At 46.7% G+C, this 14,789-nt stretch overlaps 1 protein-coding gene across 3 annotated transcripts in view, besides 6 other annotated features; it reads left to right on the top strand.

The window, feature by feature from the left end:
* Window positions 1–14,789, top strand: part of ADAM19 (ADAM metallopeptidase domain 19) — a 98,472-nt gene that overhangs the window by 69,835 nt on the left and 13,848 nt on the right. For all 3 annotated transcript variants that reach the window (NM_033274.5, XM_047417859.1, XM_047417858.1), the window contains 8 exons: window positions 133–272; window positions 2,961–3,138; window positions 6,279–6,368; window positions 8,852–9,047; window positions 11,146–11,254; window positions 12,764–12,968; window positions 14,029–14,106; window positions 14,218–14,326. In NM_033274.5, the coding sequence (NP_150377.1) occupies window positions 133–272; window positions 2,961–3,138; window positions 6,279–6,368; window positions 8,852–9,047; window positions 11,146–11,254; window positions 12,764–12,968; window positions 14,029–14,106; window positions 14,218–14,326 (1,105 nt within the window). The remainder of the gene's footprint in view (window positions 1–132; window positions 273–2,960; window positions 3,139–6,278; window positions 6,369–8,851; window positions 9,048–11,145; window positions 11,255–12,763; window positions 12,969–14,028; window positions 14,107–14,217; window positions 14,327–14,789) is intronic.
* Window positions 2,719–2,778: an enhancer, noted in NCBI's record as "active region_23516". NCBI's record gives its function as "activates an Ori minimal core promoter by ATAC-STARR-seq in GM12878 lymphoblastoid cells {active_cell/tissue: GM12878}" and the evidence as "EXISTENCE:reporter gene assay evidence [ECO:0000049][PMID:35858748]".
* Window positions 3,229–3,288: an enhancer, noted in NCBI's record as "active region_23515". NCBI's record gives its function as "activates an Ori minimal core promoter by ATAC-STARR-seq in GM12878 lymphoblastoid cells {active_cell/tissue: GM12878}" and the evidence as "EXISTENCE:reporter gene assay evidence [ECO:0000049][PMID:35858748]".
* Window positions 3,469–3,578: an enhancer, noted in NCBI's record as "active region_23514". NCBI's record gives its function as "activates an Ori minimal core promoter by ATAC-STARR-seq in GM12878 lymphoblastoid cells {active_cell/tissue: GM12878}" and the evidence as "EXISTENCE:reporter gene assay evidence [ECO:0000049][PMID:35858748]".
* Window positions 5,771–5,830: an enhancer, noted in NCBI's record as "active region_23513". NCBI's record gives its function as "activates an Ori minimal core promoter by ATAC-STARR-seq in GM12878 lymphoblastoid cells {active_cell/tissue: GM12878}" and the evidence as "EXISTENCE:reporter gene assay evidence [ECO:0000049][PMID:35858748]".
* Window positions 5,891–5,940: an enhancer, noted in NCBI's record as "active region_23512". NCBI's record gives its function as "activates an Ori minimal core promoter by ATAC-STARR-seq in GM12878 lymphoblastoid cells {active_cell/tissue: GM12878}" and the evidence as "EXISTENCE:reporter gene assay evidence [ECO:0000049][PMID:35858748]".
* Window positions 8,945–9,446: an enhancer, noted in NCBI's record as "H3K27ac hESC enhancer chr5:156923503-156924004 (GRCh37/hg19 assembly coordinates)". NCBI's record gives its function as "activates a minimal SCP1, AML or CMV promoter by ChIP-STARR-seq in naive H9 embryonic stem cells {active_cell/tissue: H9 hESC(naive)}" and the evidence as "EXISTENCE:reporter gene assay evidence [ECO:0000049][PMID:30033119]".

Raw genomic sequence — 14,789 nt, 5'->3', positions numbered from 1 at the left:
TGGAGAGTCTGTATGCTCAGTGACAGTGGAATTGGTGGAGACCTGCAAGACTTGGCTAAGGATAAGGCAGGGATGGGGGGCAGAGGCAGATCTGTCCCCTTGACCTTGACCTCAACTCTGTCTTCTGAGCAGGACCACTCCGAGAATGCCATTGGCGTGGCTGCCACCATGGCCCACGAGATGGGCCACAACTTTGGCATGACCCATGATTCTGCAGATTGCTGCTCGGCCAGTGCGGCTGATGGTGGGTGCATCATGGCAGCTGCCACTGGGTGAGTCAAACAGCAAGAGGGAGGATGGGGAGGAGGGCGGGCACACCTGGACAGTGTGACCCAGGGGTTCCTCCCAGCTGGCCCCACTGAGACTCCCTTAAACTTCTGATGGGGCCAAAAAATGTAGTTTTTACAACAAAGAAATTGAGAGAAGACCAAGGCAAATGTGCAGCAAGAACTTAACTTTCCAGCAGGAGGTTTGGTGCTGGTGTAACCCTAGATTTATTTAATTTCTGTTTTAAGGTGTTGAGTTATAAAATTGGCTTGGCCATATGTGTCTTTTTTATTTCATGAATTTTTTATGAGGACACATTTTGATCATAGCCACAGCCCTTAATTCTTCTATCCCAAGAGAGTTGGATCAGTGCTGTTTCAATTCCAGGCTTCACTGAAAGCTCCGATGTAACAGAACAAGTTGAAGAAGAGGGCCATCCACACACCCCACAGTGACTTCTCAGGGAGTTTGCAGGCCACATTACCCATGAGGAACAGGGTGAGGCAGCTGCATCTCCCTGTGGTCATGAGGAAATTTTTTTTTTTTTTTTTTTTTGAGACAGAGTCTTGCTCTGTCGCCCAGGCTGGAGTGCAGTGGTGTGATCTCCGCTCACTGCAAGCTCTGCCTCCCAGGTTCACACCATTCTTCTGCCTTAGCCTCCCGAGTAGCTGGGAATACAGGCGCCTGCCACCATGCCCGGCTAATTTTTTGTATTTTTAGTAGAGACAGGGTTTCACCATGTTAGCCAGGATGGTCTCGATCTCCTGACCTCGTGATCCACCCGCCTCGGCCTCCCAAAGTGCTGGGATTACAGGTGTGAGCCACCGCGCTGGACATGAGGGATTTTTAAAACCAGAGTCTCTGAAGAGAATTAGGGAGTTTCTTCAAAGGACTTGTCTTCTAGCATCTGAACTCAGGCAGCACAAAGCATTGGGTTCTTCCAGGCTCTTTGGAAGGCATCACGTTGGGACCTTGTGTTCCTTCACCCCACACCATTAGGGCCTGTTTATGATTCTTAGAGAATGGTGTTTCAATGTCTCCAAGAAACAGTGCAGCTTTCTTAGAGCTCTGGTGTCAATTTTTTAAAATTATTTCTCAGCTGTGACATGGAAAGGATGATGTTGGCTGGGTGCGGTGGCTCACGACTGTAATTCCAGCACTTTGTGAGGCTGAGGTGGGCAGTTCACCTGAGGTCAGGAGTTCGAGACCAGCCTGGCCAACATGGTGAAACCCCGTCTCTGCTAAAAATACAAAAATTAGCTGGGCGTGGTGGTGCACGCCTGTGGTCCCAGCTACTAGGGAGGCTGAGGCGGGAAAATCACTTGAACTCGAGAGGCAAAGGTTGCAGTGAGCCAAGATTGTGCCACTGCACTCCAGCCTTCAGCCTGGGCAACGGAGCAAGACTCCGTCTCAAAACCACAACAACAAAAAAAGAATGAGGCAGGATACAGCTTCACAGTCATGCCTGGATCCCTATAAGCTCATGGTTAAGCTCACCCCTTTCTCTCTCAATCTAAAAAGCGTATCTGAAGACAAATGATTGAGAGTTATATTGATTACTACTCTCTTTCATTTTTAAATTATTCACAAATATGGATAGTTTAACAATTATTAGTAACAAATTCCTTGGAGCATACCTTCCCACTGAAGGAAAAGCTCCAGTTTCTTGGAGGGTTTAACCTTTAATTGGTTTAGAGAATTGGGAGCAGGATAACTCTCCTTTTGTAGACCCAGATGGCTGTACTATTTGTCCTTTTCACCAATGGTGGGACCCAGGACCTTCCATACTCCTGTGATAAAGAGCATGCGTTTATGAGTTGGCTGGTTGAGTTTGGAATGCCCTCTGCATCCTTAGAACAGCAATGAGATCACTGGCCCAAAATGAAATAAAACTTATGATCTTGGCCTTTTTTTGGCCTGGTCCTCTGTCACAAGAGAATATTCACCTGATATCAGCTTCAGGAAAAGTTTAGGTTGGCTGGTGTTTTCTTCAGTGCTAAGTCTCAGGAGACCTCTTGTAACACACTCACAACCCTTTACTTATCGCAGCCCCCTCATGCAATGGGCAGAAATTGCTACTCCTGATTCTCAAATGCTTTCTGCATGCCGACTAAGAAAAATAGAATGTTATGGGGTGGTTAATATCTCATCACTAAGGATGAAAGAATTCTTTTTTTTTTTTTTATACTTTAAGTTCTAGGATACATGTGCACAACGTGCAGGTTTGTTACATATGTATACATGTGCCATGTTGGTGTGCTGCACCCATTAACTCGTCATTTACATTAGGTATATCTCCTAATGCTATCCCTCCCCGCCTCTTGCTACCCTACAACAGGCCCCGGTGTGTTATGTTCCCCTTCCTGTGTCCAAGTGTTCTCATTGTTCAGTTCCCACCTATGAGTGAGAACATCCGGTGTTTGGTTTTCTGTCCTTGCAATAGTTTGCTGAGAATGATGGTTTCCAGCTTCATCCATGTCCCTACTAAGGACACGAACTCAAGGGATGAAAAAATTCTAAATTAATGTATTGGTAAATGTTCTAAGGGGCCAGAATGTATGTGTGTGAGACAATGGGGGTCTGAACCCAGGTGGAGTCAGCCCCACGGGTAGCAGGAGTGACAGCACGAGTGACACCTGCCTGACTGCTAGATGCTCAAACTCCCCACTAATTCCAGCCTTGTCCTCTGCCAGGCACCCCTTTCCCAAAGTGTTCAATGGATGCAACAGGAGGGAGCTGGACAGGTATCTGCAGTCAGGTGGTGGAATGTGTCTCTCCAACATGCCAGACACCAGGATGTTGTATGGAGGCCGGAGGTGTGGGAACGGGTATCTGGAAGATGGGGAAGAGTGTGACTGTGGAGAAGAAGAGGTGAGGGGTCACAATGGTGCTAGTGGGAGGGGAAGAATTTGCATTGGTTTCAAAACTCAAGGTCAAAGAGAACACAATTGAAAATTTCTTAGTCACAGGTGTTTCCTACATATAACTGTCCAATACCCCATGAAAAATCAGATATGAAGAAGCCTTCCAGTTGGAGTGTTTGTGCCGCCTCTGCTAGTTTGTGGCCAGCATCGCTAGTGTCCAGGATCAGTTCTTCTTATGAGTGTCTGGTCTAACCAGAAACCACGATCACGTGGCATGTTGACTCTGTCTTCCTCAGTGGAGCTGCACATGCCTGCTTGCCCTCCAGCTGCACGGAATTTATTCTGGAGGCCACACAGCCAGATATATGGGCTTGAACAGGGGCCTTATGAGGATGCTTAAAATAACAAGCTCATGCTGTTTAGGCTGGAGGAGAGATGATGGAAAGGGGATGTAGGAAGTGCTGTCAAGTCCCAAAAGGGCTGCTAGGAGGAACTGTTTATGTGTAAACTCTCTCCTTCCTTCTGATCTTCACAGTGAGTGTGGAGGGTACACGGCAGAGCCCGGTCATTTTTAACAAATGCATGTGGTTTCTGCAGAAAGCAGAACTGGATTGTTTCGTCTCTATTTTTTGAAGGCTGAAAATATGTATGTTTATACATGCATAACAATTTGGGGTAGATAACAAGTAACAGTAAATTATGGGGGTGAGACTGAGGTTCTGTATAAATGGAAAAAAAAATCTGATTTTATGGCCTTCTCTCTCTCACTCTGTTGCCCAGGCTGGAGTGCAGTGACAAGATCTCCACTCACTGCAACCTCCACCTCCAGGGTTCAAGCGATTCTCCTGCCTCAGCCTCCTGAGTAGCTGGGAATACAGGTGTGTGCCACCACACCTGGTTAATTTTTTTTTTTTTGTACTTTTAGCAGAGACAGAGTTTTGCTACATTGACCAGGCTGTTCTCAAACTCCTGACCTCAGATGATCCACCCACCTCGGCCTCCCAAAGCACTAGGATTGCAGGCGTGAGCCACCGCACCCTGCCTGTGACCTCTGTGATGTGATTTTTCTTTTTTTAATGCCAGTATGTCACTTTCAGAATAAAACAAGAACTAGTCAAGGATGCCACCCCCACCACCATGAGCCCAGAGAGATCAACACAGACCCATCAGAAAGGAGGGAGTGGTATGAACATGGAGGGCCACTGGGGTTGAGGAATGGCCTGAGAGTGGGCATGGCCAGTTGGCTTAGGTTCTGAGCAGTTGCTCATTCAACAGGCACACTGAGTGTGGGCTACTGTGTCTGGTCCTAGGGTTAGGATGAGTGGCAAAAATGACATAGTTCCTGTCCTTGGGGAGCTGATAGTCTAGTGGGAGAAACACATATTGAAATAATTGCAAAAGAATATATGTACAGTCCATGGCAAGTGCTAGGAAGACAAATGACACAGTGCTCTGAACATATATAATGTGAGGGGGAACCTCCTTGCTTGTGTGGGAGGTGACCTGGAGCCCATATCTGAAGGCTGCATTAGGAGTTAGTGAGGCACGCAGGAGGGAAGGCACATTTCAGGTGGAAGGGGAGCCTGTGCCTTCGTGGGAAGAAATATGGTACATTAGGAAGGCAGGAATACAGGTCTTCCTGGAGCCCAACATGGTGGGAGAATAATGGGAGGAAAGTGTTCTATTCCTTCTCTTAGGGGAGACAGGTGGACAGGTGTCTGTGGTCAGGGGATGGGATGTGGCTCTCCAATATGCTAGAGCCCTGGACAGTTAGGGGTATAAGGTTGATAAACATGAGGTAGGCCTCAGGCAGACCTGACTTGAATTCAGCAGGTGTGTCCCTCGGCCAGCTACTGGACTTGCCTGAGCCACAGCATCCCTGTCTGTGGAATGGGGTCAAGGCTGCCTCATAAGGCTGTGGTGGAGAGATCTGTGGAGCCCCGTACACTTTTCATCAATGGCTGATGGATTGGCCTGTTAATACTGTAAGAGTGTGATGAGGACGCTCAGGGTCACTGGAACGCCTCATAATCTTTTAAAAATCTCAGGCTGGGGGAGAGCAAGGAACCCATGGAGATCTTCTGTTCCAGAAAGGTCCAGGCCAGGAAGGGCTTAGGAAGAGAAGCAGATGGAGAAAAAAATCTAAGGAAACAGACCCAGGAGTTGACATAAACTGTTTGGAGAGGTTGTTCCAGCAGACTCTTGCACCGGCAGCCCCTTTTCATGAGATAAGAAAGCCTAGGAGGGTTGGGGGCAGGAGGGCACCCATGAAAGACAGGGTGTCTGGATGTTCTACTGGGGATTAGAAAAACAAAACATAAAATTTCCATATACTCTGCTAAAAAGTCCATTTTAGAAGACTACATGGTTACAGGGAGAAATACGCATGTTATATTAAGTAAAAAAACACTGTGGATACTATGATTTTGTAAAGTAAGTATAAATATATATGTATGTGTGTAGAAAATGCCTTGAAAAATATTCATACTCAAAATGTAGCTGTGTCCTAGCGGGGCATGGTGGTGTGTGCCTGTGGTCCCAGCTACTTGGGAGGCTGTGGCATGAGAATTGCTTGAACCTAGGAGGAGAAGGTTGCAGACTGTCTCAAAAAAAGATGTAGCTGTGTCCAAGTCATGTTACTAATGATTGTGCATATATATGGTTCTTGTGACAAGTACACATTAGCTTAGTGACGAAGCTGTCACATGATTTTTGAGGTCAAAAGTTTCCAGGCCAGGTGCGGTGGTTCATGCCTATAATCCCAGCACTTTGGGAGGCCGAGGCAGGTGGATCACTTGAGGTCAGAAGTTTGAAACCAGCCTGGCCAACATGACGAAACCCAATCGCTATTAAAAATACAAAAATTAGCCAGGTGTGGTGGGGTGTGCCTGTGGTCTGAGTTACTTCGGAGGCTGAGGCGGGAGAATCGCTTGAAACCAGGAAGCAGAGGTTGCAGTGACCCGAGATATTGCATCACTGCACTCCAGCCTGGGTGACAGATCGAGACTCCCTCTCAAAAAAAAAAAAAAAAAAAAAGAGATAGTTGCTAGAGAGCTGGGGTTCCAGGGGTGTGTGGGCAAGGGTGGGGAAAATGTTGGGGGTGGTGAAGGCCCTCCCCCACTCACACCCACCCCACTGCCTCCCCAGGAATGTAACAACCCCTGCTGCAATGCCTCTAATTGTACCCTGAGGCCGGGGGCGGAGTGTGCTCACGGCTCCTGCTGCCACCAGTGTAAGGTAAGTGGCCCTTTTCTCCACGCCTTGGGCCCTGGCCTGACAGTGGGACCACAGGACTGCTCTGCTGGGGTGGATGGCTGGGGATTTGCCTCCATCCTGGGGCTGTGATGGCAACAGAGTTTCAGAAACACAGAGCGGAAAAGGTGCCTTGAATAAAATTTACTATTCCTATACTGGGCCTCACTGAATTCAGATCATCCCAGAGGAGGGTGGCGCTTCTTTGGAAATGGTACTTTTTTTTTTCTTTTTTAAAGAAGTATCCAGAGAGAGTGGGCTTGATTTTATTGAGCTCATAAACAATAATAATTATCATCATTTGTATTGACATTAATGGACCTCTTAGTAGATGCCAGGCACTGTGCTGGGAATTTTATGTACGTTATCTCATTCTCTCCTCACAAAAACCCCATAAAATATATGTGACTATCCTTATTTTAAGATGTGGAAACTAGAGCTTATAGGGGATAAGAGGTTTATCTGGAATCAGGCAGTCAGGAAGGGACTGAATCCAGCTTTCCCTGACTCTGGTGCCCACATTCCTAATATTGATGTGAGAGATAAATTGTCTGTTGCTGCTAGTGTTACCGTAGAACCACAATCTCTCTTCCACAATTCTGAAATTAAGGGAGTTCTAAAAGCTGAAAAAAAATGTAAACACATTTGGTGGCAAAACTTGACCTGAATTGACATGAGATGAATTATAGTCTTTTTAAAAAAAAATCACTCCTAAAGTGAATATTTATATTGCATTACAGAAATATTAATATGTTTGATCAGAAGGTGTTATCCCCAGCCTTGCTGGGGGGTTATGTAATATACATATGTAGTTATATATGCGGACATATGTAATTATCCATATCCATATATATATATATATATATATACATACACACATGTGTAATTATATATGTACACACATGTACATATGGACCTATGTATTACAATATCTGCTTTCTAAATCTGAAAAGCCTGAACCCCATCTGGCCCCATCATTTTAGGCAGGAACTGTGGGCCTGGGCTTCTGCCTAGCACTTGCTGAGTGCTCGTTAGGGGCCAGATACCATTCACATACTTAGTTCTAACTCACGTTTAATCACCCATTAGTGGGTTATTATCCTGAGTTGTGGGTGAGTGAGCACACACAGGTTACACAGCAGGTGCCCAAGGCCCCGCTGCCGGTTAAGGAGCTGGGATGTGTGCCCAGGCAGGCTGGCTGTGGGGCAGGTCCTCTTTGCCTCCACCTGCCTCTGGATGGCAGAGGTGTGTCCTGCAGCCTCCTCCTGCATACACCACCCATGCCCACACTTGCGACTGGGCATCCACTCTCAGCAAGCTGCTCAGCTGGCCCAGTCTTGGCCTGAGAGTGGCCGGTGGAGAAGCCTGTCTGCCTTCTCCTGGAAGGACCCTGTGGGTGGGAGGAGTGGCCCAGGAGCAGGGGAGGGGGTCTGTTCTCAGTCACTGGTTTCCTTGCCTGGCTCTCGGAATGTGCACGGCATCTGGTTTGGCTGTGCGTCCCCCTGGGAGGCTGTGCTGGGTCAAGTTCTTCCAGTCTTGGCCCAAGGCCTAAGCATAAGCATGGAGTGGACCCCTTCACTCCACACAAGAATTTCCGTTTGAGCCTCAGAAAGGATTCCCTGGTGTCCAAGACTGACTTCAAACCCTGGTTGTGTGATTTGGGGCAACCTATTAACTCTCTGAGCCTAGGTTCTTTATCTGTAAAATGGAAAGAGTATTAGTAACACCGACTACCCAGGGAGGCTGTAAGACTCTTCGCCCTTTGCCCCAGGTGTGCTGTTGATCAACTTATTGATCTGCAAAGTGGGACAAATAGCAGTATCTATCCCATGGAAGCTGTGAGGATCCCACGAGATACGTGTATGTCACACACTCAGCCCAGTGCCTGGCCCCATAGTGGGGATATATTATTGCTGAGGTGCTTTGTAAACTCACAGATGTTATGTGAATGCTAGTTTTGTGTGTGTGTGTGTGTGTGTGTGTGTGTATTAGTGGGCCTGGCTCCTCTGCCACTTACTATGAGTCTTTGGATGCATCGTCTAACCTCTTTAAGCCTACAGATTTTATCATCTGCAGAAGGGATAATTATATCACACAGGACTGTCATGAAAACTAAGTGAAGTCATATTTGTACTGGACACTTAAGTGGGAGCTGCATAAAAGTAGCTGCTATTACTAAAGCATGTAGGAAACTGTAAATTGTTGTATAGGTATTATTTCTTGCCTCTTTCTTAAGACTTCTATGAAGAGAAAGTGAGTTAGCATTTGTGAAAACAGCTTGAAATTCTGTCAGTATTCACATGAGAAGGCTGAAGGTGGTTTGGGCTAATGAGGTCATGTAAAAAGTGCTGTGAAATCATGGTAATGGAAAATTCTGTTCTATGAGAGTGATCCTTATGAGCCCTTGGGCAACAGGGTTGAGGGTGGGGAGGAGATTGACTGTGTTTTCCTCTCATTCCTTGGCTCAGCTGTTGGCTCCTGGGACCCTGTGCCGCGAGCAGGCCAGGCAGTGTGACCTCCCGGAGTTCTGTACGGGCAAGTCTCCCCACTGCCCTACCAACTTCTACCAGATGGATGGTACCCCCTGTGAGGGCGGCCAGGCCTACTGCTACAACGGCATGTGCCTCACCTACCAGGAGCAGTGCCAGCAGCTGTGGGGACCCGGTAAGGCTCTCCTGGGGAGCACGGCTCTCCCCAGCCCACCACTTCCCAGCCAGCCTCCCCTGGCCCTCAGGGTAGTTTGGAATCTTGGCTTCAAATGGCACCTCTAGATACTACCTCTTTCATCCCCTTGACTCAGGGTAGATGTTCAGGGAGAACCAGAGGACAGTGTTCCTTCCCAGTCCCTTGATGCTTTTATTTCTCAGAGTGGACAATTGAATAAGAGTAATCCAAAAGAAAAATGAGCAGAGGATGGAGACAGAGAAGCAAATGCAAATGGCCCTTAAGCTATGAAAAGACGTTTAATCTCAGTCATATTAAGGGAAAGCAAAGTATAATTATGATGAGGTGAGATTTTTCATATATCAGATTGCAAAGACTGAAAGTTAAGATAATAATAATATAACAACAATAATAATGATATAGTGTTGTGGAGGGTGTGAAGAAACAGGTAGATATAACCACTATGGAAAGCAATTTGGAGATATACTTAGAAATGCAGCTAACACTTGCACATGTATGTGAGGATATATTTACTATGATGTTTACTGCACCATTGTTAGCCATAGCAACAACAACCTATGTGTCCTTCAGTAGGGACCAATTAAATTAATTCTGGTACATTCATATAATGCAATGCTTTATGGCTAAATAAGGAGGCAGCCCTATATTTACTGAATAAAATCATCTTCCACAAAAAATTAAGTGAAAAATGCAAGGTGTAGAACAGCAAATAAAATATGCTTTCAAGCCAGATTTGGTGGCTTGCACCTGTAATCCTAGCTACTCAGGTGGCTGATATGGTGGCTTGCACCTGTAATCCTAGCTACTCAGGAGGCTGAGGTGGGGGGATGGCTTGAGCCCAGGAGTTTGAGGCTGCAGTGAGCCACTCCACTCTAGGACTCCAGCCCAAGCGACAGAGGGATGTACCATCTCAAAAAAAAAAAAAAAAAAAAAAAAAAAGACTGGGCACAGTGGCTCACGCCTGTAATCCCAGTACTTTGGGAGGCCAAGGCAGGTGGATCACCTGAGGTCAGGAGTTCAAGACCAGCCTGGCCAACATGGTGAAACCCTGTAACTGCTAAAAATACAAAAATTAGCCAGGCGTGGTGGTGGACGCCTGTAATTCCAGCTACTCGAGAGGCTAAGACAGGAGAATCTCTTGAAACTGGGAGGCAGAGGTTGCAGTGAGCTGAGATTGTGCCACTGCATTCCAGCCTGGGTGACAGAGCAAGACTCTGTCTCAAAAAAAATAAAAAAAGAATATGCTTCCATTCTTTATTAGATAGATTATCTCTAGAAGATACACACAGAATTATACCTAGGAGATACAGAAATTAGAGATTTAAGTATCTTTAGAAAATATACTGTTAATAAGTGCTATTCCTCCAGGATGTAGAGAAGTAGGAACTGGATGACTACAAGAAAAATTTTCCAAGACATACTTATATCTTTAAAATATTATGCATGTATGACCTATTTTTTAAAATCTTGAATCGGAACATGGCTTCTTCATTAGAGAGCAGGCTTAGCATGCAACCCTCCCCACACACAAATATAAATCCTCAATAAGGTAGGAAGAATTTACATAAAACAGGCCAGGTGTGGTGGCTCACGCCTGTAATCCCAGCACTTTGGGAGGCCGAGGCGGGGGGATCATGAGGTCAGGACTTCAAGACCAGCCTGGCCAAGATGGTGAAACCCCATTTCTACAAAAAAAATAAATAAATAAATACAAAAATTAGCCAGTCATGGTGGTGGGTGCTTGTCATCCCAGCTACTCGGGAGGCTGAGGTAGAGAATTGCTTGAACCCAAGAGGCGGAGGATGCAATGAGCCGTGATTGTGCCACTGTATTACAGCTTGGGTGACAGAGCGAGAATCCATCTGAAAGAAAAAAAAAAGGATTTATATAAAACATTATTCTCTGAGTAGATCTTGTTGAGAATATGGGGATGGAGTAACCTGGAGGGAACAGGAAGAAGAGGCTGAGTATTCCCTCCCAGAAAATATTCTTACCTTCATGACTTTACCAAAGATACCTTTGCCCTTGGGGGCTTCTGACAGATGAGTATACTGATAGATGTTGCTTGCCCACCCAGGAGCCCGACCTGCCCCTGACCTCTGCTTCGAGAAGGTGAATGTGGCAGGAGACACCTTTGGAAACTGTGGAAAGGACATGAATGGTGAACACAGGAAGTGCAACATGAGGTGATGACCAAAGGGCAGGCCTCATGAAATGAGGATGAACAAGCAGTTTCTGCTCTGTCCTCACTGTTGCCCAACTCAGCAGTGTGACTGGCCCCAGAGCTGCACCTTTACGTCAATCAGTTGAAGTCAGTCATCTATTCTCGGCCCCCTGTTTGACAATGCACTTTTCAGCTCTGAGGAAGTCAGAGGAGGGTGTGGGTGGCAGTGCTTCCTAGAAAGCTGATCGGGCTTCCTTTGGGGACCATCTTACAGTAGGGCAGGGAATCAGCCCTTTTGGGTCATTTCTGCCAAATTCTAATCATGCCCTAATTTGAATAGCTCCTCATTCATTAATTCACTCATTCATTCATTTATTCATCATTCATTCCAACCAACCATCCACTCATCTGTCTACCCATCCATCCATCCATCCATCCATCCATCTATCCATCCATCTACCACCCACTCACCCACTGATCCATCCATCTATCCATCCTCCACCACCCACTCACCCACTCATCCATCCATCCATCCATCCATCTGTCCGTCCATCTATCCATCTACTATCTATTGAAGATTTACTGTCTATCTACTATCTATTGAAGATTTACCATGTGCAAGATATTGTGCTGAGTGCATGGAACTTCTAATTAACAATATAGTATGACAATGGCAATGTGGAGAGAGCCATCCAACCCATCTTAGTGTGTCAGAGTGGTTTCCCAAAGGAAGTTATACCTACACTGAGATCTGGAGCAGTTACCTCGGTGAACAGGGTGGAAGGTGGTGCTGGTGCATAGGAGAGTAATCCAGGAAGAGAGATGAATAGAGAAAAACTGGTGGTTGAAAGAACTGAGAACAGTTTGATACAGTTAAAGTATAATGTTGGGGTGCAAAGGAGAAGGTCTGCTGAGAAATTAGCCTGGATAGTTTAGCATGGACCAGATCATGAAAAGCCTCAAATGCATGGCTAGGGGAGTTTAGATTTTAGCTTGAGAGCAGTGTGAAAATTAGACTCCTATGAGGCAGACTGGAGGCAGGGAAATCAATCTTCTGCAGACCAGGTAAGGGGGGTGGGGCAGTGTGAATTAAGGTAGATAGATAATAAGATAGATAATTAAGGAGGGAAGATTGATAGGGTTTGAAAATGGCTTGAGCCCAGGAGTGAGGGAGAATGGGGAGTTGGAGATGACCCCAGATTTCTAGCTGGAACTCCTGGGTGGACAGCGGTATAAGGGGCAAAAAGGGAAAGATTGCTCAGCTCAGGTGGCTATTCTTGGAGTTAAGGACTTTTCGAGGCCAGTTCTCTGGTCTAGATTTGCTCAGGGTCAAGGAGCCTGTTCTCTTCCCTTGGTGTCAGTCCACATGGAATCTCTCCTGGTGGGTTCCAAAGCACATGACTGCCCTAAACCTTTGCCCCACCCCACGCAAGCCTGCTGTCTTGATCAAGAAAGACTGAAGCTCTCTGGTGCCCCAGCTCTTCCTCTGCCTCTGATTCCGCTTCCTTCCCTCTCTGTCTCTTGTGCCCAGAGATGCGAAGTGTGGGAAGATCCAGTGTCAGAGCTCTGAGGCCCGGCCCCTGGAGTCCAACGCGGTGCCCATTGACACCACTATCATCATGAATGGGAGGCAGATCCAGTGCCGGGGCACCCACGTCTACCGAGGTCCTGAGGAGGAGGGTGACATGCTGGACCCAGGGCTGGTGATGACTGGAACCAAGTGTGGCTACAACCATGTGAGTCCCCTCCCCTGCTCACCTAGGAGCCAGCTGCAGAGCAGAGTGATTGAGAAGTGAGGTCTGAGGGAAGGATGCCTGGGCTCAGATGCCACCTCGCCAACCTCTGAGCCTTGGTGGCTCCCTTCATGAAGCGTGTATAGTGACAGCAGGCACCCACCCCAGAGAACTGTCGGAAGGATTAAAGAAAATCATCCCAGTAAAGCACTTAGGTGGCCTAGCTAGTGCCACTTTCATCCTCATCGCTAATTATCATAGGAATTAAAAATGGACTAGGAGTTAGGGAAGCCTGAGCAAAATAATAGCACAGACTCTATCCTCCAGAGTCGATTCTGATAATGAAACTATGGAAAACATGAAGCATTTAGCATAGCACCTGGCACAGAGTACTGTCACCATCATTATTTTTAAATATAATGTTAAAATTGATACATATTAATGACAAGTAATTAACATAATCAACATAATAGTCCTTTAATGTGATAACACATAAATAATATTGTATTGTTAAATATGATACTTTAACAATATATTTGTCGTTTTCTCCCTAATCACAAAAGTAATAGCAGAATTTAGTTGGCTGTTGTCCTGTCCTTAGCGTTGTGGGCTGTTTTCCATTTTTCACTTTGATAGTAACCTGAAGTGTGCTGCCTATTTGGGCCCTCATACTTTTTTTCTTTTAAGATGGAGTCTTGCTCTGTCACCCAGGCTGGAATGCAGTGGTACAATCTCGGCTCACTGCAACCTCTGTCTCCCAGGCTCAAGCAATTCTCCTGCCTCAGCTTCCCGAGTAGCTGGGATTACAGACACAGGCCACCAGGCCCAGCTAATTTTTGTATTTTTCGTAGAGATGGAGTTTCACCATGTTGGCCAGGCTGGTCTTGAACTCCTGACCTCTGGTGATCCGCCCACCTCAGCCTCCCAAAGTGCTGGGATTACAGGCGTGAGCCACCAGGCCGGGCCATGGGTCCTCATATGTTCCAAGTGCAAAATCTTGCCTCCTAACTCCCAACCAGCATCCCTCCCATTGCACTGATCGTTCTGTTTTCTCTCCGTGCAGATTTGCTTTGAGGGGCAGTGCAGGAACACCTCCTTCTTTGAAACTGAAGGCTGTGGGAAGAAGTGCAATGGCCATGGGGTGCGTGCTGGGTTCTGGCTTCTCTGTGTCATGGGGACGTCATGAGGGCAGGCCCTGTGGGTGGCTGATGCTCTCTGGGGTGCTGATGCCTCTGCCCTTTCTTTGCTCCAGGTCTGTAACAACAACCAGAACTGCCACTGCCTGCCGGGCTGGGCCCCGCCCTTCTGCAACACACCGGGCCACGGGGGCAGTATCGACAGTGGGCCTATGCCCCCTGAGAGTGAGTGCCAGCCTGCTGGGGCCACTGCCCGCTTTTGTGAGAAGAGCGGGCATCAGGGGCAGGTGGCATGTTGCAGAGCATCCACATTGAATCAGCTTCATTGTCCTGATTTTGTAGAGAGGAAATCAGGATAAAGACAGACCAAGAGAGAGGAGCGACTGCTCATAGTGTGGTGTGGGGACACGGTTCAGTCTCTCTTCTCCCATCCTTTCTACTGAGGAGGGGGAGCCCGCTTAGTAGAGTGAGAGTAAGAGAGACTGTAGGTCATTGAATGTTCCCATTCTTTTTAGGGGACACGGTGACTATTTCTCTTTGGGCACTTAAAAATAATCATGAACCTGGGACACATTATGGTGGTTTAGATTTCCTCTGATGGACACAAGTTAAAATGGAGAACCAGACACTCAGAAAATTTTATAGTATTTTAGTGGATCTCTCAAGGATTCTAGCACTATGATTTCTA

Source organism: Homo sapiens, chromosome 5 (genome assembly GCF_000001405.40).
Source record: "Homo sapiens chromosome 5, GRCh38.p14 Primary Assembly".
Classification (NCBI taxonomy): Eukaryota; Metazoa; Chordata; class Mammalia; order Primates; family Hominidae; genus Homo; species Homo sapiens.
The sequence above is the reverse complement of the archived record's forward strand: the minus strand, read 5'-3'. Positions and strand labels throughout refer to the sequence as shown.